General features: G+C 40.1%; 1 long non-coding RNA gene, 1 other non-coding gene and 1 pseudogene across 2 annotated transcripts in view, besides 2 other annotated features; 1 reads left to right on the plus strand and 2 right to left on the minus strand.

Moving 5' to 3' along the window:
• Positions 1 to 25,763, minus strand: part of LOC100130691 (Putative uncharacterized protein FLJ44553) — a 109,184-nt gene that overhangs the window by 47,177 nt on the left and 36,244 nt on the right. Inside the window, exons 2-5 of the long non-coding RNA NR_026966.1 lie at positions 7,914 to 8,015; positions 3,709 to 3,845; positions 1,458 to 1,567; positions 888 to 972 (exon numbers count right to left, since the gene is read on the minus strand). This is a non-coding gene — a long non-coding RNA (Putative uncharacterized protein FLJ44553). The remainder of the gene's footprint in view (positions 1 to 887; positions 973 to 1,457; positions 1,568 to 3,708; positions 3,846 to 7,913; positions 8,016 to 25,763) is intronic.
• Positions 7,322 to 8,521: an enhancer, noted in NCBI's record as "BRD4-independent group 4 enhancer chr2:178202734-178203933 (GRCh37/hg19 assembly coordinates)". NCBI's record gives its function as "activates an origin of replication core promoter dependent on BRD2, P300/CBP, MED14 and CDK7 cofactors, and independent of BRD4, by STARR-seq in HCT116 cells {active_cell/tissue: HCT116}" and the evidence as "EXISTENCE:reporter gene assay evidence [ECO:0000049][PMID:35650434]".
• H3P7 (H3 histone pseudogene 7) lies at positions 13,759 to 14,152 on the plus strand (annotated as a pseudogene).
• Positions 15,174 to 15,277, minus strand: LOC124906145 (small nucleolar RNA U13). Its single transcript, XR_007088734.1, has one exon. It is a non-coding gene; the product is annotated as a small nucleolar RNA U13 (small nucleolar RNA).
• Positions 18,262 to 18,401: a silencer, noted in NCBI's record as "silent region_12146". NCBI's record gives its function as "represses an Ori minimal core promoter by ATAC-STARR-seq in GM12878 lymphoblastoid cells {active_cell/tissue: GM12878}" and the evidence as "EXISTENCE:reporter gene assay evidence [ECO:0000049][PMID:35858748]".

The raw sequence follows: 25,763 nt of genomic DNA on the forward strand, positions 1-25,763 counted from the left end.
CTCTGCATGTTCATTTTAGGGCTTGATTTTGTCTCTAAACTTAGAGCCCAGGAAAAAGTATTCAGTATCCTTAGAGCACTAGGAGTTGCGTTGGCAAAGACAGATAGCCTGACCCATTATAATATTAACTAATTTCAACCCACACTAATTATCAAAGGTACTCATTTAAGGAAAGATGTGGTGTTTAGAGTAATCTTGTGGAAAGACTGCTTTCACTTAAAAAAAAAAATGGGGCCAGGTACAGTGGCTCACGCCTGTAATCCCAGCACTTTGGGAGGCTGAGGCAGGAAGATAACGAGGTCAGGAGTTCGAGACCAGCCTGACCAACATGGTGAAACCCTGTCTCTACTAAAAATACAAAAATTAGCCGGGTGTGGTGGTGCATGCCTGTAATCCCAGCTACTCAGGAGGCTGAGGCAGGATAATTGCTTGAACCCAGGAGGTGGAGGTTGCAGTGAGCCAAGATCACTCCATTGCACTCCAGCCTGGGTGACAGAGTGAGATTCCATCTCAAAAAAGAAAAAACAAAAAGGATAGAGACAGAATTTAAAAGTTCTCTGACACAACAAAAATTGATTTTTTTTCTTAAATATGAAAGATTCACTTAGTTTTTTGTTTTGGCCTCAGGTTGGTTTATTTATGCACTATATTTGTTTTTATTGCCATGGTGATCTTTTCTTCTTTCTTTTTTTTTTTCTCCCCTGCAGTTCAGTGGTGCCTTCTTGGCTCACTGCAACCTCTGCCTCTGGGGTTCAAGTGATTCTTATGCCTCAGCCTCCCGAGTAGCTAGGATGACAGGAGCACACCACCACGTCTCACTAATGTTTTGTATTTTTAGTAGAGACTGGGTTTCACCATGTTGGCTAGGCTGGTCTTGAACTCCTCACCTCAAATGATCCGCCCGCCTCGGCCTTCCAAAGTGCTGGGATTAAAGGGGTGAGCCACCGCACCCGGCCGTGTCTTTTGCTGTTGCTGTTTAAAAGACACAGGTCACCTTTTAGCTTCTGTCCAGTTCATTACACATGAACAATTTGGTTTTCTTTAGAACACTCTTGAGCCCTTGAAATGTCATACATTGTAGGGGCCAGTTTTCTTATGTTTTCCCTGTCAGCAGATTTTGTTAAAAACATCTTGCTGATAGACCCTATTTTATTAATGATGAGATTCAATGAACCCCTGCAGGGTAAGGTTTTTTTTTTTTTAAATCTCTTTTGATGGGGTTTGATGTAAACCTCAAAGGTCTTCTCTCTATGTCTGTTCTATTCCTTTTCTCTTGCATTATTAATTCACCCATAAATTGCAAACTTCTAATGAAGTATTACCTTCATGCTAACTTCCTAAGTTTCAGGGCAGCATCTGGTGACATAGGGATCATTTTACAGCAGTGTCACAGCATCAGTTGACAAGAGGGTCAGTAAATAGCATTGTTATGGATCTTAAATGAATCCAATACTTACAGCAAACCAGGTGGCGTGGAGTTTGGCTGTATCAGACGTGCAGGATAATGATGCAAATGACCATGCTTACACAACCCCTCTGCATGACTTAGGAACAATGCCTACATTATCTTTAAGATACAGAAAACACAAGTAACATGTAAGAGACACTGTTAGAGTCAGTTCCCCTGATCACTAATATCGGTGTGTCGTCAGTCATTTTTTGTATTCCCATGTAACTGATTAAATCTATTTGGGAAAAAGTGTCGGCCATCGTATCTTAGATTCTGTTTCTTAAAAAAAAAAAAAAAAAAAGGAAGAGTGAGTTGGGGGAGGGCTGTTGATGGCAGTTTGCTGCCGCTGAGTCTGGCCTGCTGTTTTTCTGGCATTTTTTCATCTGTGCTGCCATCTAGAGAGGAGAATTGGAAACACGCAAAAATAAAGTCCCAAGATGGAGTTCAGGGAAAGTGGATACTGTGTATTTATTTGTAGAAAACTGGAAGAAACATCATGAGATTTGGGACTATAAATTTATGTTTTTCTCTTCTCTCTCTCTGTCCCTCCAAGATCCAAAACAGGACTTGGATATCTGTTTCTCAGTTTTTGTGAGGACATTCCAGGCATTGCTGGGAAGCCATTTCCTGGATTCGAACTGACTCCTTACATACCTAAAATTCAATTGTATAAACTTTCTGGGACCTCTAAATTGTCAGAAAGTGGTCTCACTTTTCTACAGTTGAAACATTGCTGGAAATGCTCACATTCCCAGTTCTGTAGGATTTGGAAATAAAATGGCAGCTTTTTGTGTGTGAATTAACAAGAGAAAGAAGTCCTTTCAACACAGTGGAGCAGTTTCCTGAAGTCTGTGCCTTCCACAGAATCTACCAGATCTGCGGGATGTTTATAGGTGAAACGTTGGTCAAATGAATTTGGGGATTGCAAGGTAAAACAATGTTAAGCAGTTTTTATAGGCTTTAATTTACCAGTGTCCACTGCCAGCTTGCAAGAGAGGAAAATGCTGGGCAAGCTTTCCCAAACTTGTTTGACCTTGAAACCCTGGGCTTTTCATAGACCTGGTGTTGTGTGGCGCTTACATTCGGAGCTATTACAACAGGGAAAGGACATTAGCCTGCTGCATGCACACTACGCAGAAACACCAGTCCTCCCTGACCCCATCCTATTCCTTCTCTCTGTGTCTCAATATTTTTGAAGTTTTGTTTTGGTTTGAGTAGAGACTGGGGAATTTAACTACTTTTTTTCTCTAGCAGGATTGTAACAGGAGTAGGATCTGTTTGATACTTGCTACTCCCAGGTAAAACAAAGTAAGTTTACCTACAACATATGCCAAATTTTCTCTCTCAGCTTACATGTCAAACAGCACATAGTAAGATAGTCTTTTTACTCAGAACACATTTAGTGTGCTCTAATTCTGTGTAAGGTACCACTGGGAGGGGAGAACAGAGAGAAATAAAATATGATCCTTGACTTAGTCAAATCATTAAATAGATGGAGTGATAAGCTTATACACAGATTACTACAAGATCCCTTATACAGATAAATAATGGTCATACTAGATTTAGTCATCATAACTGAAATAATAGGGTTTAGTTTATGTGGAGCAAGGCCATGGAAACTATCCATGGAAAAAGAAACTAATAGCCTTACAGAAACTCTGTTATAGTGGCATCCATTGTTAGAGCATTTCACCTTATTTAAAAAAAAAAAGAAAAAGTCAATGGCAAAGAATATCTGTCTGTATTAATTCTGGAAAGTGACATTCTTGATGAAACTAAGTGAACAATATTAATAATGCTTCTCTTTAGATAATTTTTCTGCATTTTAGGAGATGGACCATATAATTCATAGTTTTGACTCAAAAAGTAATGTCTCTATTTAGGTATTAATAAGGATATGATCCCTTACAAGGGATACATATTATTTCCACTTCATGAAAACAACAGGGGCTCAGAGAATAAGCTTGTTTAATAGCTTGTAAAGGGCAGGCTTGGAATTCAAATCCAGTTCTGTCTGGCCCCAAATTGTTATTTTTGTTTCCCTTTTTGTGGGGCAGAGTAATTTTAGAAAATGTTTGCGTACTTTCTGATTTCTATAGCCTAAAAATATGATGCCAAAGAAAAATGAGGAAAACAGCTTTCCTGAGCTTTAGAGAATTACACATACACAAATAGGAGACTATAAGCTTTGTGAGAGCAGAAACCTCAAGGCCATATCTGTTCTCTTTGCCACACTAAGCACAGAGCTTAGCACATACCTGGCATATAGATCCTCATTAAAGATTTGCTCAATGAGGCACATATGAATGATAGTGTTTGAGATTAGGTGGTAGGCACTCATGAAAACTTTCAATATCTTCTTGTATTTTTTGCAAGATAGTCCACAGTTTTGAATCTGCAAAGGAGAAATAAGATTAAGGTTAATGCAGGCCATTTGAAAGTATGCCTTACCTCCTCATGAAATGGTCTGAATCTGATCAAGGGCAATTTTCACATTTGTGATTGTACTTTCCAGTTAAAACTCAATAATTAATTAATCATATTGTGAGTCAATTTGTGGATGATTGAGAACCTTCCCCTGCATAGTTGTTTGGTCATTCCCCAACAAATTCATTCCCTGAAAATGGCTAAAAAAATTAGGCTTGAAGTAAAACTAGATTTGAAGGCAACGACTAAATCTTCTTTATATCTGTATTCCTAGAACACATTCCTAGAATATATTGTGCTTTATAATAAGAGCACAATATATTTTGAACTAGGAAGGAAGAAAAAAGAAAGGGTAGCAAAAAGGAAGAAAAATGAGAGTTAGGAATCTTGGATTTAAGCCTTGGGTTGACAATGTGAATTTGGGCCAGTCATTTCTTCATTTTGTTTCTCAGTTTCCCTTTTTGGAAGCCAGAGGAGTTGACCTAGTTGACCACTAACACACCTCCAGATTCTAATTGCCTGTGGAAGAGAGACTGGGGTCATTCTTGGTATAAACATGCCCATGCTTCCTTTTTTCCACTAGGGGGCACTGTAGTACTAGCGCAGTGGCCTCCATCTTCCAATTTATTCAATTCTGTTGACAGTATTTTTCCTGTTTTAGTCCCCTGGAAAACATTCTTTACCTTTAACTTTCAAACTCAAATTTACACTACAAAGTATGAGATTTAATTTGGTAAGGAAAGCTGGATAAACATAGGAAGAATGTAGTTCAATGATTTATATTGCTTAAAAGAGAAATTAGAATCACAGAGCTATTTGCATAGTTAGGTTATAACACGTTAAGATTTTCTGTGGTCCAAAAGGGGGGCTTTGAAACTCTTTTAAAGGAAAACAAAGTGGAAAAAATTGTAATTACCAGAATAACAAAAACATAAACTTAATAAGTATGTCAAATCTATGTGAAGACAACTATAAAATTGCCAAGGCTTAAACAGAGATATACCATGTTCTTGGATAAGAACACTCGGCATTTAAAAATTTTTTAATTATTCCCCAAATATATTCATAAATATAATACAATTCCAATGGAAATGCCAATGGAATTTTTTTTGAAACTTTACAAAAGAGTTCTGAAGTTCCTTGAGAAAAGTTAAACTGAAAAGAGTCAAGAAAAAAAGACAACCATTTGAGAGGAAGGAGGATTTTAACTGCTAGATTTTTTAAAAAAGATAAAACAGCTGAAATTAAAACAGTAGCATAATGACAGCAAAATAAACAAACAAACCAATAAAACAGTGAGTCCAGAAACAAACCCAAGTATGGTGTCCTGGATGTGTTTGTGTGTCTGGGGTTTGTGTGCTTTGGTATTTGGCATCTCAACACTTTTCCTGTTATAGGAACTGAAAAAAGGCATATCTTCCTCTTCTAGACAGCAAGGACATCAGCACATAACTGAAGTTTGTCCAGTGGGATTCCCACATTGAATCCAGAAGGAGTGATGCAAAGATGCAGAAACCATCAAGCTATCTACTGAGACAGTGATGATGTCAGTAATTCAGGAGAAGAGAATGTCTGGTGGTGGCACTGTCCTTAGTTTCTATTTAGGCTCTTCCTATAACAGTTCTTCACCAAGTTCTGGCAGCATTCTAATCAGACTATTCCTTCAGTGGTCCTTGGCTGATTCATCTGCTGCCAGCCTCCTTTGGCTCCTGTCTGATTTCTGAGCCTGATTTTTAACTTTCCCAAATAACTTTGTATATAGATACTGTTACTCTTTCAGTAAATTCCATTCTATTTAATCTACCTAGAATTGGTTACTAATGCTGGCAAATAGGAATTCTGACTTGTACAGAAACTGGTAATGGGGATTCGGTTACACACAACAGACTTTCAGGGAAATCAGGAGAATCTGGGTATGCAGACTCATTGTGTTTGAAGATAATAAAAACCAATTAATATTCAAAGATGAGACTCTGGAAACCCACAGCTTATAGTAGTAAAATAGCTAATGAAATTAATGCCTGTGAGCATTAGGATTGAGTTGGGTATTAAAGACAAGACCATGGGGGAGAGAATTGCTGTTGTCACAGAACAGTATGAAGGAAATGAGGAATTCAAGAGCTGGGTGCTAAGGCTAGCTGCTTCATTTGAAGACATTAACAAATGAAAATCTCTAAATTCTCATCTTAAAACATGAACTGAAACCCAAGCTGTGAATTTGTTAAAAGAAACTTTTATAGCCCTAGGATGGAGATAGCTATAAACCAATATTTGTTCTTGTTGATTGCTGATTTGCAAATCAGTCGAATTCACCTCCTTACCTGGGGTCTTAGAAGAGCATATGTTAAAGTGCTGATTCCGAAAGAGTAAGATCTTTAAAATTAAAATGCTATATAGGGGAGAATTTGAAGAACGCAGAGATTCCTTGCCCCCAAACTCTCAGCCTTCTTTGCAGCTGAAGCTTTTATTATAAAGCTATTTCTCCTTTGTTTGAAGAGGCTGAAACTCCCTAGTTTGAGGGAGTTACCTTATAGGAGGTTCTCTTATACCCTACTCTTACTCTGCACTATCTCCAGATCTGTAATTAGAGTCAAACTCGCTGGGCGCGGTGGCTCACACCTGTAATCCCAGCACTTTGGGAGGCTGAGGTGGGCGGATCACCTGAGGTCAGGAGTTTGAGACCAGCCTGGCCAATATGGTGAAACCCTGTCTCTACAAAAAAATAACAAAAGATTAGCCAGGGATGATGGCAGGTGCCTGTAATCCCAGCTACTCGCGAGGCTGAGGCAAGGAGAATTGCTTGAACCCAGGAAGTGGAGGTTGTGGTGAGCCAAGATCACGCCACTGTACTCCAGCCTGGGTGACAGAGCAAGACTCCGTCCCCCGCCCCAACCCCCAAAAAAATTCTACTGTGCTTCAAGAGGCTAGTTTACAAAGTGAAGCTCAGTAAGATATATCTCAAGCACCAAAGAAATTGAAGAACTTTGCTAATTAATCTGTGGGATGTGAGTTAGAATTGATTTTAAGAATGTTGAATGAAGAAGAAGAGGACATGATTTGAGATTGGGTTGAATTTACTAATAGGGCTTACAAGAGATTCTGGATTATTCTAGTTTGAGAAGCTAGGAATAATTCTGTTTGCTCTGCTAAATGTTCATTGACATTTAGACTGAGGGGTGAGTCATACAAAATAAAGTTGAGATGCAAATCTCTTAGGTAAAATGTAAATGAACAAAATTTTAAATTTTAGGAGACAGGAATGCTGGATTAGATTTGTCATATCTGACCCAACCACCCACCTCAATTTTGTCTTCCAAAAAAGGGTCTAGCCAGTTGCAGTGGCTCACACCTGTCCCAGCTACTTGGGAGGCTGAGGTGGGAGGATCACTTCACCCAGGAGTTTGAGGCCAGCCTGGGCAACATATCGAGACCCTGTCTCTAATTAAAATAAAAATCATAAGAAGGTCCAGAAAACACTCTTTACAAAGGCCTTGAGAAACAAATCTATGAGGGAAGGGTCAGTATAAAAGTGATTTAGAGAACGTTTCACGTAGACCAGCGATGATGCTGAAAAAAGGCTACAGTTGAATTTGGCTTACTGAGTTTCAGAGGGATGGCAGGATCCCAGAGTGACATGGTCTAGGTAGCACATTTGCATGGGGCTAAGTTGAAAGTTAGTAGGTCAGTGTGAAAATTAGAATGCTCTGACTCATGGATTCTTGGGAGGTGACTAACTGATCATGGAGTCCCCAGGACTGAAATAAATAAGCAGTCACTAAGGTTCTACTTGATTTGTATAGCAAACAAGCAAACAAACAAAACCTTTATGTCTAGAAAAGAGAGACGGTATCCAATTTCCAGATATGAATGCGTTCTCAGACACAGTTAAAGGAAATCTGAGTACCCTCGAGGAAGTGCCTACTTGAGTCTACCTCCTGGAATACAAAGGGACTTGTGGCCATTTATTAGGACAGTTGTGAATGATGAAGCAGAGATAGTTCACTTTCATCTGGTACGGACAAGAATATAGCTTTACCTTCTTGCCACAGGATTACATCACCTTTTGGACCCTGGGTCAAAATGAAGTCAGCAGAAAGCTTCTTATTTCCTCATTTCACATGATATCAGATTATTCATCCTATACAAGTGGGGACAAAAGAGTAGAAAGCAATAAATACCTTGGATACCTTGAAAAAAATACATGAGCGCTCGAGTGGGAATTTTTCAAGGGTCCAGTGGTATACAGAACATGTTTGGCTATAATTCTAAAGTGAGAGATAAACTGTTGTACCTGAGCTCCTTACCAATATGAAGAGGTACTATTTTGGTGGACCTCTTTGGATATTAGAGGCTTGCTACTAGGTCCCAGTGGAACACCTAACCCTGAGACACCAAGTGACTTTGCGTCGTAATTGTCTATCAGGATCCAGGTGTTAATTCAGGCTCATAACTCACCAGGCCTGGATAGTCCTGAGGATGAGTGAGTTTAGTGAGCACGTTGCTTGTATTCTCCTGCTACTTACGTCTGTCACACTGCTGTCCCTCTCTAGCTTACGTGTGAGTGTCTCATGGGGTATTCACTATGTCCAATTGATTTGAGAGGAAAAAATTAAAATCCTGGTTTACAGATCCTTTTTTCTTGGCTTGAAGTGGGTTGCTTTAGCATTTATAGCTCACTCCAAGACCCAGAAAGACCAGGGGAAAGGACAATCCTTGACCGGGCATGGTGGTTCATGCCTGTAATCCCAGCACTTTGGGAGGCTAAGATGAGAGGACTGCTTGAGGCCAGGAGTTCGATACCAGCCTGGTCAAAATAGCGAGACCCCATCTCAATTTATAAAAAAAAGAAAAAGAAAAAGAAAAAAAGGGGCAATCCTCAAAATGGGCAGAAACTGAAATAATATGTATCTCGTTGTTCAGTTTGCCTGGAATTAGCAGTGGCTAATAGTTTGGTAACTTGACCAGTGACTTGGAAGGGTTAAGATTGGTCACAAGGAAGCCTGAGTAAAAAGTACGTGAAAGGACCTCTAGAAATAGGCCAGAAGGTGTGAACATTATACCTGATATTATCATTGAAAAGGAAAGTAGATATGATCAAATTATCTAGTTATTATGTTTAAAATTTTAATTAGCTCTGGAACTTACACTGAAGATTAATATATACATCCAATGAACTTGATCCAGCAGTGGTTGAATCTGCCAGTGTATGTGTGTGTATGTGTGTATGTATGTGTGTGCATGAAAAATTCCACCTAAATCCTTCCTCACTCTCACTCTTCCCATATAAACCCTTACGTTCCCCAGAGTATGGTTTAAAAGCCACTGAACTAGTTCAATTTCATTTTAGAGAATAAGAAAATATCCAAAAAATTGACTTGATCTGTCTCAGGCCATATAGTGTCTACCAGAATAAAGGCTCAAATCCTCCTCTTAAACTGGCACTCTCTCCAAAATAGCACGTGACTTCTATAATTCAGAATAAATTCAATATAATGGCAACTCCACTCTTCCCTATTATCTAATCCATTACTCAACATGACAGAAAAGTATCACCATTTTCCATTCTTCAAAGCATGGAAAACTGAATGGCAGGATAGATGCTTGAATGAAAAAAGATTAAATATTAGAATGCATATTTGTAATTTCCATCATATTACCTTTCTCCCTTAGACTTGGAGTGGCCTTCCATCTGTAAGTGGCCAATAGTGTAAAGGACATTGTATTCATTGTTAAATTAAGGGACAGGCAGCTTAATTCTTTCAAAGATGTCTCCAGTTGTGACTCATATCTAAGGTTGCACTATCTAATATAGTAGTCACTAGTCACATGTGGTGATCAAGTTGAAATCTGGCTAGTTTGAATCAAGATATGCTGTAAGTCTTCAAAATCTGGTGTAAATTTACCAGATTTTGTATATATAGATAGATATATACCAGATACATATCTATCTATCTATATATTTAGATATATAGAGAGATATATAGATAGATAAGTATCTGGTGTATATTTAGAAGACTTAGTATGAAAAGACAATGTAAAGTATTTAATTAGTAATATTAAATATTGATTACATGTTAAAGTAATCACATTAAACAATTTTGGTTAAAGAAAATACAGTATGAAAATTAATTTCATAAAGAAGCCAATCTGAGAAGGCTGTACATACTGTGTGATTCCACCCATATGAAATTCTGGAGAAGGCAAAACTCTGGAGACAGTAAAAAGATCAGTGGTTGCCTGGGGTTAGGGTGGAGGGAGGGATGAATAGGTGGAGCACAGAGGATTTTTAGGGCAGTGAAACTACTCTGTGTGATACTATACTGCTGGATATAGGTCACAAATTTCTCCAAACTCATAGAATGCACAACACCAAGAGTGAACCCTAAAGTAAACTACAGAATTTGAGTGTTCCAATGTAGGCCCATCAGTTATAAAACATGTACCACTCTGGTGGGAGATATTGATAATGGGGTAGGCTATGCACGTGTGGGGGCGAGGGGTATATGAGAAGTCTCTGTATGTTCCTCTTAATTTTGCTGTGAACCTAAAACTGCTCTAAAAATAAGTTTTTAAAAAAGCCTATTAAAATGTACTTTACATGTTTTACTTTTAAAAAATATGGTTATTAGAAAATTTAAAATCACAAATGTGGCTTGCTTTATATTTTTATTGGTCAGTGCAAAAGAATGGAAACCAAACCAAGCAGAATTTGGCCAGTGTTTCCTGTAGCTCATTAGTGTTGTCAGAATTATAAAGATGTTAGGTACTCACACAAGTGTATGTGAGCTACTAAGGTTTCAATTTTGGCAAAGTCACCATCTGCAAATAGGAATTTCACACTTTCCAAAAAATACTGGAATGATAGTGAGCTAGTCCTCAAGGATAAGGACTGTGTCTAGTTCTGTTTTTAACACAGAACAAGTTACATTGCTGGCATTTGATAATTTTGCTTTAGAAATCAGGTGGACAAGAGCTTTTAGTTCTTCAGGGAAAGTACAGGGAAAGTGGCCCTCTGATGAATTGCTTTGAACACAGAAATATTTACTTTGAAAATGTAAGCCTCCCATTACTTTATCATATCTATCCAATTTTATTTCACTATAAAATTTTAACTCCTCTGCCCTTAATCATGAAAGTAGAGGAAGGCAGAGTAGACAATGAGTTAATGGTATTCTCTATATGTGATATACAGAATTTTAAGTTGGCTATAATTACATTTAATTCTATTCATTAAATCAAAGATTTCTCCCAGATCAGTACACACCAGCATGTGACAGAAATCACAGTTAATGCCTTCCTCATCAGAGACCAAGTAGGACTCCTAAGTTCCAGAACGTAATGATTACTTTGGCATCCTACATTATGCAGCAAATCCAATAAAGTACAAACAACCTGCCAAGATATAATATGAGTGTTACAATGGGACATCATACGTTTTAGCTCCATACCTGCTAGAAGTATCATAAAAATGAGTGGTGATACTCAGTAAGAATAGTGTCTTCTCAAATCTGTTCCTCCTCCTTTTCTTGTGTTGATGGCATCCCCATCTAGTCATAGTCCTTCTATATTTCCTCATTTTCATCCCCTGTGTCCAAGTGGTCATTCAATAGTACCAATTCTGTCTTTCAAATGTCTCTTGAATCCTTCCATTTCCCGACAATTTTCAGCGTAACTTTCCTAGGCGATTCTTTCATCAACCCTGCCTTGGACACCTGGAATAATCTTTATGTAATTAGGTTTCCAGCACAAGCACCTATTAAGCTGTTTTCATTTTTCCCTCATTTTATTGAAGCTCCAAATTGCCACCAGAATTATTTATCTAAACATATCCTTCTCCTGCTTGAAAACTTGCCAAATGGATCCCCATTACCTGCAGGATAAAGTCTAAACTTCACATGACATTTAAGGCCCTATATATTCTAATCTCAGTTTACCTTTCCAAACTTATCTCCTGCCTCTCTTACCACACCCTAGACCCTGAAAGTCCAAGTTTTTTTTTAAATTACATAATCAAAAAACCGTGAACATTCCAAATTTTTAAAAGTTGATAATAGTGAGGGAATTGAAAAGATTTGTATACAATAAAATGAACATGCCTCAAATATAAATCTGTTACTTGTGGAAAATTTATTCTATGCATTTCCTTTTGTCAATGAAGTGGGAATTCTTTTGACAGCAAGTGATAGAAACCTAATTTGAATTTCTTTGGCAAAAATGAGAAATTATTGGCTTATGGGTTCCAAAAAAGGGTTAAAAAGCCAAACCAAGAGATAAGCAGAACTATAGTTCTACCTCAGAAACCCCATTGCCATCAGAATTCCCTTTGACAACTGGCTTGGCCCGTCTCTGCATATCAGCTTCATCTGAGACAGAATCTGCCCGAAGCAGAAAACATGATTACCTACAGCTCTTTGGGTCAGTGTCCTTTAAGAACCATATGGCTGTCTCTCTTTCTTCATTCCAGTCTGAAAAATCCAGAGGAAGGCCTCTTATTGTACTGGCTTAGATCAGGTGCGCCTATCCCTGATTTATCAAGTGTGGCCAGGAAAGAAGGATCACGTAAACACAGAAAATTTCTGGCTGCAGCCATGTGGATGGTGGTGGGAGATAGGGCTATTACTCCTTAGGAAAGAGTGCTATTAGTGAAGGCAATAGCACAGATATCTGCCAGAGCAAGTAATTCTTAAGAATTTTAGTGGAATTAAATCAGAAGAGCTGAAAGTTATATAATTAATTATATTTAAATTATATATTTAATTATATTTAACTTCACTTATAATTACTAATTGATCCAGGTCTGCTAGCACTGTAGCTGGCGCCACCACAATAGATTTTTAGACTTGTTTGGCCTACAAGTTTGTACTCATAATTTGCTTATTCTAATTTTTTGTTAGTTTTGTTTTAGGTATCTAATTATATTTGTTCTAAATGCTAATAATTTTGTTTCCTAATAGTCATAACTCATATTTCTATTTTGTTGTTTATTTTACTTGCCAGAACTTCCAGAATTATAGAAAATAATCATTTGTGTTATTGTAAAGTTTATATGTGTGTGTGTTTATGTATATAAAGACTAGTAGTGTAAGGAAGCAGGAAAAGGGTATCTCCATTAAGTGACTATTTACATTCCTATTGGAGCTAGAATGGAACTTAAAGATACCAGGGTTTGTAACAAGCCAGTATGCAGAGGATGGTATTCCCAGTTTTTGAAACAGGCCGGGTGTGGTGACTCACGCCTGTAATCCCAGCACTTTCGGGGGCCAAGGCAGTAAGATCGCTTGAGGCCAGGAGTTCAAGACCAGCCTGGGCAATAGGGTGAAACCCCATCTCTACAAAAAATTAGCCAGGTGTGGTGGTGCATGCCCGTAGTCTCAGCTACTGGGAGGCTGAGGTGGAGCCCAGGAAGTTGAGGCTGCAGTGAACCGTGTTCACACTGCTGCACTCCAGCCTGGGTGACAGAGCAGAGACACCGTCACAAACAAAACAAAACAAAACATTGAAATAATGTTGGGTTGTTAAACAACATATAGGTTGGTGAACTACTGCTGCCCTGAGATATTACCTTTCCCACCCCTCATCTTTACGGTCCAATAACTAAAGGGTTAGATCATAGCAGGGGGCTGTCCATTCTGATTGGTTTTAACTAACTGTTTTAATATTTTGATTATCAGTGATATTAGAACACAGTAATTTGGCTGTATACCCCTAGTGGAATATACTACCTTGGGATACAAAAAAAAAAAAAAAAAAACTTCAAGAAAATCTTAAATTATCTTTAATGACCAAATTGTCAGAGAGAGAGAGAGAGAGATTACAAGCCGCCTCTAGCTCACTGAGCTCCAGTGGAAGGAGAAGGAGGTGAGAAAGATTTCTATACTATGGCCTACAAATCTATCAGTGGTAAAGCATTCAAGAAGTCACTGGATACAAAAGTCACCTGCAAGAGTTCACCCTCTACTGGAGTGCTGAAGAAACTTCATCATTGAGGTACTGCTGCACTGGTACTGTGGTACTCTATAAAATTAAATATTATCAGAAGTCCATAAGCTTCTGATCTGCAAACTTCCCTTCCAGCACCTGGTGCAAGAAATTTCTCAGGACTTCAAAACAGATCTGTGCTTCCAGAGCACAGCTATTGGTGCTTTGTGGAGGCAAGGGAGGCCTATTTGGCTGGCCTTTTTGAAGATAACAACCTATGTGTCCTCTATGCCAAATGTGTAACAATTATGGCAAAAGACATCCAGCTAGCACACCACATATGTGAAGAACATGCTTAAGAATTCACTGTGCTGGAAAACATTTCATTCTTCTCTCTCTCTCTTCTTCCTGACACTGGTAGTTGTGAATGTTAGATTTCTTTTTCCCATGAGGTCAAATGGTACCTACATACAATGATTGCAAGTGGAAAAACAGAAGACAGAAATCAGGTATTGGCAATTTCTCCATATTCATTTGTGTATGAATTTTTAATATAAATGCAGGGACACAGATTTGATTATATGAATGTATCAAATTTTCACATGTATGATAAAAATATGCACAACTATTGTGTATCAATAACAAATTTTAAAAATGCAAGGACACAAAGCATTAATGCAAGTCAAAATGTTTCAGTGAACAAGTTTCAGCAGTTCAACTTTTTTTTTTTTTTTTTTTTGAGACGGAGTTTCTCATCACCCAGGCTGGAGTGCAATGGCGTGATCTCGGCTCACTGCAACCTCCACCTCCTGGGTTCAAGTGATTCTCCTGCCTCAGCCTCCCAAGTAGCTGGGATTACAGGCACCCGCCACCATGCCCAGCTAATTTTCATATTTTTTAGTAGAGACAGGGTTTCACCATGTTGCCCAGGCTGGTCACGAACTCCTGACCTCAGGCAATCTGCCTGCCTCAGCCTCCCAAAATGCTGGGATTACAGGCATGAGCCACCACACCTGGCCAGCAGTTCAACTTTATAACAATATAAATAAACCTGTTAAAATGTTCTGGACAATGCCAGCATTTGGACTTTTTAAAAACAAGCAAATTTCTTATTGATGGCAACTAAATAATGTTGGTAGCATTTGATAATACAGTCGATTCTGTGCATTCACTGTACTTTTCTGAGTTGTCCTACATGCAAGTACAGGTTTTTAATGTTGTCTGTCTTCTGTGCTATTCCTGTAAGTTTGCTATTAAAATATATTAAGCTATTTTTTTAGAAGGAGAAAATGAAAGAAACACAAACATTGGATATTTTATGATATTAAGGAATTCTTGTTAATTTTTAAGGTATGCTAATAGTATTGGTATTTTTTCTTGTCAGACGGGTAATGTGCTGACATCATAACAAGGTTCAACAGCGGCACATCTCACACATGCATGTGAACACCCAATCATCACGCTCATGAACTACAAAAGGATCAGGATTATGTTTTTAAAAGGTCTTTCCCTTTCATGATAAATACTAAAATATTTACAGATCAAATAATATAGCTGGACTGCTTCACAAGAATCCATTGGGTGTTGAGGTAAAGGGAAAAGTGAATGGGTATAGATGAAATAAGAGTGGTTATGAAGTGACGATTTTTGTGGCTGTGGGATTGGTCACTGAATTAGTCTCTCTATTCTTGTGTATGATAAAAATTTTCCATTATAGGCCTGCTGTGGTGACTCATGCCTGTAATCTCAGCACTTTGGGAAACCGAGGTGGGCAGATGGCTTGAGCCCAGGAGTTCGAGACCAGCCTGGACAACATAGCAAAACTCGGTCGCTACAAAAAATAGCCATGATCACACCACTGCACTCCAGCCTGAGTGACAGAGTGATATCATGTTTCAAAAAAAAAAAATCCATTATAAAAAGTCAACAAAAAAGTTACATTTATTTACTATCACTCCTGCAGGTCACGTAACTAAATCCCCTAACTTTATGATTGGAAAAATTTGAGTAAAGAATTCCCCCAGGACTCTTCACAAAAAAGCACTTTGGAAAGAAGCACTTGCTTTTTGGAAAAAAAGCAAGGACTTTGGAATCTCACTTACTATACCAGCTATGTGACCTGTGGCAAATTACTTAACTTCTTCAAATAACATTTGAGTTATCTGTATAATGAGGCTAATAGCATTTATCATGATGGGCTTTGTGAGAACTAAAGGAAATAGCACCTGTAAAGGGCCTAGCACAGTGAGCAGAGAGTAGATGCTCAGTAGGTGGCAACTGTCACTATTATAAAGTGTCTAAGATCATACAGCTTGTAGTAGTACAGTCAGATTTAAAGCACAGGTTTCCTGAGGCACAATTCTGCCATATTAGGTTATTTCTTTTGAGTAACAAGCTTTTAATAGGTACCAGCTGAACTGAAGAAAACAGAGAAACACCTGAATGGAAATTAATAACAACTGATAAGAAGATTTGTTTCCCTAGATATGATATCATATCATATCTTCAATAATGGCATCAATCTTGTTTCTCATTGACAGTCATGGCCTGACTGTATCCTTCCCATGACAACATTTGGTTCCATGAGGGCTGATTTAAATAAAAGGAATTTGCTTTAGGAGGGTTTCTATTTTTAAATCTGTAACAAGAGGCCCCATATGCAGCACAACTACCTATAGATGATAATCTGACTTGACCAAGGTCACCCTGCTAGACAGAGGAAGAAATGAGTTTAGAACCTATATTTCCAGGTCTGTATATTTGCTTTCAGTAAATATGCTATTTTTATTTATTTATTTTTGAGACAGGGTAGAGGGTAGAGTGCAGTTGCATGATCATAGCTCACTGCATTCTCAACCTCCTGGGCTCAAGCAATTCTCCTTGCCTCAGCCTCCTGAATAGCTAGGACTACAGGTATGGGCCACTGTGCCTGGCTAATTTTTAAATTTTTTTTTGTAGAGACATGGTCTCACTGTATCGCCCAGGCTGGTAATGAACACTTGGCCTCAAGTAATCCTCCTGCACTGGCTTCCTAAAGTGCTGGGATTACAGCTGTGAACCACAGCGCCTGGGCTGAATATATTATTTTTAGATGTTTACACATTAGGAAAAATAATTTCCACTATAAAGCATACAATGTATGGTACTGTCTTTCTAAGAATCGACAATAAGGAATGTTCCATTTATCACTACACAGACTATTGCTTTTTCTTCTTTCTTTTTTTTTCTTCTGAGACATCAGTTTCAGCAGATGCCCTTTGCCAGATGCTCCTGGCACTCTGAACTTGTTATCATCTGATTTGAGGAAGAGCTGCAGGGCTTTAAACAATATATGTATTTATTGGCATTATTCTCTTTGTTCTCTACTTACATAAGGCTCCTCAGTACTTTCTTCTTTCTCAGTAATCTTGGAAACCTTTCATAGGAAGGGAAAAGAAAATAGGATCTTTATTCTCTGTACTTCTTGGTGGAAGCGAGGGAGAATATATGATGGAATTGATGAATGGAAACAATAAAACTAAAGGACTTTAGCCCAGTCACTCTGCTACTATACTAATGAAAAATTTAATTGTGTTTAATAAACACCTAACATTGTGCTAGATGCTGAGAATACACAGGTGATTCAGACATTTTAACAGTTCAGTGTACCTGCCCTCAGACAGCACAGAGTTTAGTAGGTTGGGTAGATGGGTATCAAAACAACTATAATAAAAAGCTAGAAAATATAACTGTTAGACAGAGGTGAAAGTGAAATGCTTTAGCAAGAAGAGAGAAGTTCTGACAAGAACAGATAGGCTTTCAGAGAGAAAGTGGCGTGTGGTTGGGGCCACAAGGGATCTTACTTTAGCCGACTGAGAATCAGAATTTAAGACTTGTTACTCCAAGACTGTTGGTGGTTACCGCATATGAAGGAAATTGGAAAGGACAGGGTGTATTCTGAGAACACCGGTGTGGCTCCAACTGCCAGAGGCAATCCACTTGAGGGTTCTTTCTTGCCTTTACAAAACAAAATGTAAAAACACAGAGGATAAAAATAATCAAACCAAACCAAAGTTAAAAGAATAACAATACGATACGGGACAGGCCAGGTTCTTTCTGTTCCAGAACCCACGTGTCAAAGAAGAGGCCATATGTATCTCTACAACATGAATGTTGCTATCCATTCATCAAATATTTAATGAACCCCATTGTGTGCTGGGCATTGGGATAAATGCTGTGGACAAAGCAGTGAACAAGACAGCCATAGCGTCTGAGTTCACAAAGTTTATATTCTGACTAGGGACACAGTGTTTAAACAGCAACTAATTACATAACTACAACTGTAATAGGCAGTGTAAAGAAGTGAAGATGCTAGGGGAACAGCTAACAGTCTGGAGTATTAGGAATTCTTCTTTGAAGAAGTCACATTTGAACTGAGTGCTAAAGGAAGAGTGAGGGCAGGAGCTGGAGTTAGGGGTTGAGGGCAGGGGAAGAGTGTTCAGGGTAGCACCACCAGTGTGGGTGGCCAATGAAGAGTGAGAAAGCTAAGCAGGTGGGTGAAAGCCTCTTTGTGCATGGCCTTGTAGGCCCCATTCATGATTTGGGTCATTACCCTCACACACCAGGAAGCAACATAGTTTTGAAAGGTCAGTTTGAGTGCAAAATGGAGAAAGGATCAAAGAGAGAAAAGAATAGATGGCAAAGACCAGTCAGAAGGCTACTGGGACCTGCCTAGAATCCAGGCAAAAAAATGAGGGTGACTTGTATTAGGGTGGAGACAATGGGGATAGAGAGAGTAAGGAAGAAAGTTTGGGAGGAGGAGGGCAAGAGCTGAAGAGAAAGTCTGGCTTGACAGATCAGCTGGGTGGTGTGTGTGTGAGTGTGTGCATGTGCGTGTGAGACAAGATCAGCTGGGATGGTATGTTTGTGTGTTTACAAGATCAGCTGGGATGGAGTGTGTGAGTGCAAGTGTGTGAGACAAGATCAGTTGGGGTGGTGTGTGTGTGAGACAAGATCAGGTGAGGTGGTGGGTATGTGTGTTTGTGGGTATGTGTGTTTGTGGGTGCGTGTGTGACACAAGATCAGCTGGGGTGGTGTGTGTGTGTGTGAGAGAGAGACAAGATCAGTTGTGGTTGTGTGTGTGTGTATGTGTGCGACAAGATCAGCTGGGGTGGTGTGTGTGTGTGAGAGAGAGACAAGGACAAGATCACCTGGGGTGGTTGTGTGTGTGTGTGTGTGTGTGTGAGTGAGACGAGATCAGCTGCAGTGGTGTGTGTGTGTGACACAAGATCAGCTGGGGTGGTATGCATGTGTGTGTGTGTGTGTGTGTGTGTGTGTGAGAGAGAGAGAGAGAGAGAGACAAGACCAGCTGGGGTGGTGTGTGTGTATAACAAGATCGGTTGGGGTGGTGTATGTGTGTGTCTGTGTGACAAGATCAGCTGCGGTGGTGTGTGTGTGTGAGACAAGATCAGCTGGTGTGGTGTGTGTGTGTGTGAGACAAGATCAACTGGGGTGGTGTGTGTGTTTGTGACAAGATCAGCTGGGGTGGTGTGTGTGTGAGACAAGATCAGCTGGGGTGGTGTGTGTGTGTGTGTGTGAGACAAGATCAGCTAGGGTGGTGTGTGTGTGAGACAAGACCAGCTGGGGTGGTGTGTGTGTATAACAAGATCAGCTGGGGTTGTGTGTGTGTGTGACAAGATCAGCTGGTGTGGGGGGTGTGTGTGTGTGAGACAAGATCAGCTGGGGTGGTGTGTGTGTATAACAAGATCAGCTGGGGTTGTGTGTGTGTGTGACAAGATCAGCTGGTGTGGGGTGTGTGTGTGTGTGAGACAAGATCAGCTGGGGTGGTGTGTGTGTGTGTGACAACATCAGCTGGGGTGGTGTGTGTGTGAGACAAGATCAGCTGGGGTGGTGTGTATGTGTGTGACAAAATCAGCTGGGGTGGTGTGTGTGTGTGAGACAAGACCAGCTGGGGTGGTGTGTGTGTATAACAAGATCAGCTGGGGTTGTGTGCGTGTGTGACAAGATCAGCTGGTGTGGGGTGGGGTGTGTGTGACAAGATCAGCTGGGGTGGTGTGTGTGTGTGAGACAAGATCAGCTGGGGTGGTGTGTGTGTGAGACAAGATCAGCTGGGGTTGTGTGTGTGTGTGTGTGACAAGATCAGCTGGTGTGGGGTGTGTGTGTGTGAGACAAGATCAGCTGGGGTGGTGTGTGTGTGTGTGAGACAAGATCAGCTGGGGTGGTGTGTGTGTGTGAGACAAGATCAGCTGGGGTGGTGTGTCTGTGTGAGACAAGATCAGCTGGGGTGGTGTGTGTGTATAACAAGATCAGCTGGGGTTGTGTGTGTGTGTGACAATATCAGCTGCGGTTGTGTGTGTGTGAGACAAGATCAGCTGAGGTGGTGTGTCTGTGTGTGTGTGAGAGAGAGAGAGACAAGATCAGCTGGAGTGGTTTGTGTGTGTGTGTGTGTGAGACAAGATCAGCTGGGGTGGTGTGTGTGTGTGTGTGTGAGATTGAGAGAGAGAGAGAGACAAGATCAGCTGGGGTGGTGTGTATGACAAGATGAGCTGGGGTGGTGTGTGTGTGTGAGAGAGAGAGAGACAAGATGAGCTAGGGTGGTGTGTGTGTGTGAGAGAGACACACAAGATGAGCTAGGGTGGTGTGTGTTTGACAAGATCAGCTGGGGTGGTGTGTGTGTGTGTGTTTGACAAGATCAGCTGGGGTGGTGTGTCTGTATAACAAGATCAGCTGGGGTTGTGTGTGTGTGTGTGTGTGTGAGACAATATCAGCTGCGGTTGTGTGTGTGTGTGAGACAAGATCAGCTGGGGTGGTGTGTGTGTGTGAGAGAGAGAGACAGAGAGACAAGATCAGCTGGAGTGGTGTGTGTGTGTATGTGTGTGAGACAAGATCAGCTGTGGTGTGTGTGTGTGTGAGATTGAGAGAGAGAGAGAGAGAGACAAGATCAGCTGGGGTGGTGTGTATGACAAGATGAGCTGGGGTGGTGTGTGTGTGTGAGAGAGAGAGACAAGATGAGCTAGGGTGGTGTGTGTGTGTGTGAGATTGAGAGAGAGAGAGAGAGAGACAAGATCAGCTGGGGTGGTGTGTATGACAAGATGAGCTGGGGTGGTGTGTGTGTGTGAGAGAGAGAGAGACAAGATGAGCTAGGGTGGTGTGTGTGTGTGAGAGAGACACACAAGATGAGCTAGGGTGGTGTGTGTTTGACAAGATCAGCTGGGGTGGTGTGTGTGTGTGTGTTTGACAAGATCAGCTGGGGTGGTGTGTGTGTGTGTGTGACAAGGTCAGCTGGGGTGGTGTGTGTGTGACAAGATCAGCTGGGGTGGTGTGTGTGTGTGTGAGTGTGACAACATCAGCTGGGGTGGTGTGTGGGTGTGTGTGTCTGTTCCATAGCAGTGAGAGGAATCAGAGTATCTCTAAGCAGGGACCAGATTTTAGACTAACAAATCTGCACCACTTTTAGTTATATTCTCTTTTCCATTACACTAGAATCCCCACACTCTCGAACCAAGCCCAAAGTCAGACCAGAACGTCAAGAATCAGTCATCTTTTCTTAATCCCCATATACTGAAACTGTGCAAGATTTGGCTTGTGGGGTCACACCCTAAGCATTCCTCAATTCTTTCCCAGAACCTTGTGCAAAACTTTAAACAGAGGGAACAGACAAGGATACCAGGAAGACAAAAAAGAAAAGAGGAAACCTGTAATCAGCTAGAAAGAAAAGGATGATAAGTAAATATGTGTTAGCTGTACTGAGTTAAAGAAATATATTGGCTGGGCACCGTGGCTTGTGCCTGTAATCCTAGAACTATGGGAGGTCGAGGTGGGCAGATCACCTGAGGTCAGGAGTTTGAGACCAGCCTGGCCAACATGGAGAAACCCTGTCTCTACTAAAAATACAAAAATTAGCTGTGCGTGGCTGCATGCACCTGTAGTCCCATCTACTTGGGAGTCTGAGGCAGGAGAATTGCTTGAACCCAGGAGGCAGAGGTTGCAGTGAGCCAAGATTGCACCACTGCATGCCAGCCTGGGTAACATGACAGAACAAGACTCCATCTTAAAAAAAGAAAGAAAGAAAGAAATATATTGGTACAAGTTCCCAGGCCTTCCTGTTTTGGGTGGAGATGAAATAAACCTTTAGAGAGAATCTTAGCTGCAACTATGTTTGAGGCCCTTATCTGCTGGAGGAACAACAACTTAGTAGTGCTAAGGCTTGGACATTGTAGTTACTTAGTAAATATTTGTTGAAGTGAAGCATAATAAAGGTTCTGAGGGTTATATACACTCAGTGAAAATTATTTCGAGTCCCCAACTTCTATCATTTCATTACAAAAAGGAGAAGGAAACAGGGAGCAGATAGGGTTTGGCTGCTGTTGTGGAAACAGGAACTTCATGTCATATGAAGTAAGCTCTGGGACAGGAATTTTAGTAATAACGGGTTGACGCTTGGCAAGTCTGCACCTTTGTTTTCTCACTTAAAGTGAGGAGATTGTATAAGATGGAGATTTTCTAAGTGCAACTTTTGGTCTAATATAGTATGGAAAGCAAGGTCCAAAAGCTTATACTGTATAGATTTGAGTGGGAAAAAAAGCAAGCAAGCCATTTACTGAAGGCAACAGGAGCCTTCTCTGCTACATTTCAAAGAATCTTATTAAACTGAGACAGGATCCAAATGTGGATTCCTTTCTCTGGGCTCCCGACTAGGAATTGATTGCCACCACCTGTTTTTGTTCATACTATCATCTGTTATTGTCTAAAACAAATATTCTCCCTTCACTACAGTCCTCAGTTTCTCAACAACTTTCCTAACAATTCAGGAAACCAAGCACTCTTGCCAAGGACGTGGGTTCATGTAAGTTTCTTCAACCACAGCCGCCTAGGATCCTTCCCCAGGGCAGCCAAGTCTCAGGCTTCTTTTCCAGACACCTCAGTTTTCTATAACAAGGGGAATTTTTTCTTTAACCATAGAAATAAATATACCTTTATAACTTAATTTTTTTTCCTATAGGTTACGGGGGTACAGGTGTTATTTGGTTACATGAGTAAGTTCTTTAGTGGTGATTTGTGAGATTTTGGTGCACCCATCACCTGAGCAGTATACGCTGCACCCTGTTTGTAGTCTTTTATCCCTTGCCCCCTCCCACCCTTCCCCCCAAGTCCCCTAAAGCCCATTGTATCATTCTTAAGCCTTTGCGTCCTCATAGCTTAGCTTCCACATATCAGTGAGAACACAGGATGTTTGGTTTTCCATTCCTGAGTTACTTCACTTAGAATAATAGTCTTCAGTCTCATCCAGGTCATTGCAAATGCCATTAATTCATTCCTTTTTATGGCTGAGCAGTATTCCATCATATATATTATATATATATAAATATATATATTTATATATATATAAAAATATATATAAATATATATATTTATATATATAAATATAACAGTTTCTTTCTTTTTCTTTTTTTTTGAGATGGAGTCTTGCTCTCGTCGCCCAGGCTGGAGTGCAGTGGTGCGATCTCAGCTTACTGCAAACTCCGCCTCCCGGGTTCAAGCGATTCTCCTGCCTCAGCCTCCTGAGTAGCTGTGATTACAAGCACCCGCCACCATGCCTGGCTAATTTTTGTACTTTTAGGAGAGACGGGGTTTTGCCATGTTGGCCAGGCTGGTCTCAAACTCCTGACCTCAGGTGATCCGCCCACCTCGGCCTCCCAAAGTGCTGGGATTACAGGCATAAACCAGTGTGCCCAGCCTATATCACAGTTTCTTTATGCACTCGTTGATTCATGGGCATTTGGGTTGGCTCCACGATTTTGCAACTGCAAATTGTGTTGCTATAAACATGCATGTCCATGTTCTTTTTCGAATAATGACTTGTTTTCCTCTGGGTAGATACCCAGTAGTGGGATTGCTGGATCAAATTTTAGTTCTACTTTTAGCTCTTTAAGGAATCTCCACACTGTTTTCCATACAGGATGTACTAGTTTACATTCCCACCAGCAGTGTAGGAGTGTTCCCTGATCACTGCATCCACACCAACATTTACTGTTTTTTGATTTTTTGATTATCACCATTCTTGTAAGGTGGTATTGCATTGTGGTTTTGATTTGCATTTCCCCGATCATTAGTGATGTTGAGTATTTTTTCATATGTTTGTTCACCGTTTGTATATCTTCTTTTGAGAATTGTCTATTCATATCCTTAGCGCACTTTTTGATGGGATTGTTTGTTTTTCCTTACTGATTTGTTTGAGTTCATTGTAGATTCTGGATATTAGTCCTTTGTCAGATGTATACATTGTGGAGATTTTCTCCCACTCTGTGGGTTGTCTATTTACTCTGCTGACTGTTCCTTTTGCTGTGCAAAAGCTCTTTAGTTTAATTAAGTCCCAACTATTTATCTTTGATTTTATTGCATTTGCTTTTGGGTTCTTGGTCATGAAATCCTTGTCTAAGCCAATGTCTAGAGGGTTTTTCCAATGTTATCTTCTAGAATTTTTACAGTTTCAGGTCCTAGATTTAAGTCCTTAATCCATCTTGAGTTGACTTTTGTATAAGGTGAGAGATGAGGTTCCACTTTTATTCTCCTACATGTGGCTAGCCAATTATCACAGCACCATTTGTTGAAAAGGGTGTCCTTTCCCCACTTTATGTTTTTCTTTGCTCTGTCAAAGATCAGTTGCCCGTAAGTATTTGAGTTTATTTCTGGGTTCTGTATTGTGTTCCATTGGTCTATGAAAAAAATTTTTTTTTGATATATTGTCTTACTCTGTCAGGCTGGAGTGCAGTGGTGCAATCTTGGCTCACTGCAGCCCTGACCTGTCAGGCGCAGGTGATCCTCCCACCTCAGCCTCCTGAGTAGCTGGGACCACAGGCATGTGCCATGAAGGCTGGCTAATTTTTTTTTTTTTTTTTTTTTTGTAGAGACAGGGTTTCATCATGTTGCCCAGGCTGGTCTCAAACTGCTGTACTCAAGCGATCCATCCATCTCGGTCTCCCAAAGTGCTGGGATTACAGGTGTTAGCCACCATGTCCAGCCCATAACTTTTAATGATTCTATTGTCTCCACATAGCAATGAAGGTAGGTATGAGGAGGCTGGCCAGGGATCTTCTGCATATCTGCTCTTGCAAATGGTGGCCTCTGCAGCTAGTGGAGCTCACCAGGATTTGGGCTAGGAGTAATAGTTAACCAAGGCCCTGGAAATCACAACCATTCCAAAAGGGGCATGGACAATGGTTGGACTCCCTTAGTGTTTCAAACGGGGCAGAAATTAAGGGTCAATGGTAACATCTCATCATAAACTTCTTTATTTGAAACACTGATGGGAAGCTTTCTTTCATCTTTTCTGCTTTTTCTTTCCTTTTCTTTCTTTTTTTTTTTCTTAATAGAAACATATCAGAAAAGTCAGCAAGCATAATCCCAAGGAAGGATTTCTGACAAAGAGCCTTTAGATAAAAACATATTTATCAAAAAACAAATTTTTCAGTCAAGGGCCTTTAGACACTGTATCATTTTCTTTCCTTATAACAGATATTCAGACTACTTCTTGGAAGGGCCCCAAATGCCTTGCCTAAGAACAATGGACAAAAGTCGCAGTCTCCTAATTCCATTAGTCAGAAAACATTGTGGTTTCAGAAGTTTTTGCTTATAGGGCATTTTGTAGCGGTATCCTAGACAGGGGTTGACATGGAAACCTGTGTTTCTCCAATAGGGTTTCCATGGCAATTCTATAGATTTTCTCATTTGTTAATAGCAATAGCCTTGGTCTTGATAACTAATATAATAGACCTGAGATTAAAAAGGTGAATCACTCTACTTGGATGGGGTTCCCTTGTCAGGGTCAGAATAATATATTTGGCAACCAACCAGCCTCTGCACAGAATCATCTAGAACTGTGTTAACTAATATGATGTCCATTATCCACATATAGCTATTTAGATTTAAATTAATTAAAGCTAATAAAAATTAAAAATTCAGTTTCTGA

This window comes from Homo sapiens, chromosome 2 (genome assembly GCF_000001405.40).
Source record: "Homo sapiens chromosome 2, GRCh38.p14 Primary Assembly".
Classification (NCBI taxonomy): domain Eukaryota; kingdom Metazoa; phylum Chordata; class Mammalia; order Primates; family Hominidae; genus Homo; species Homo sapiens.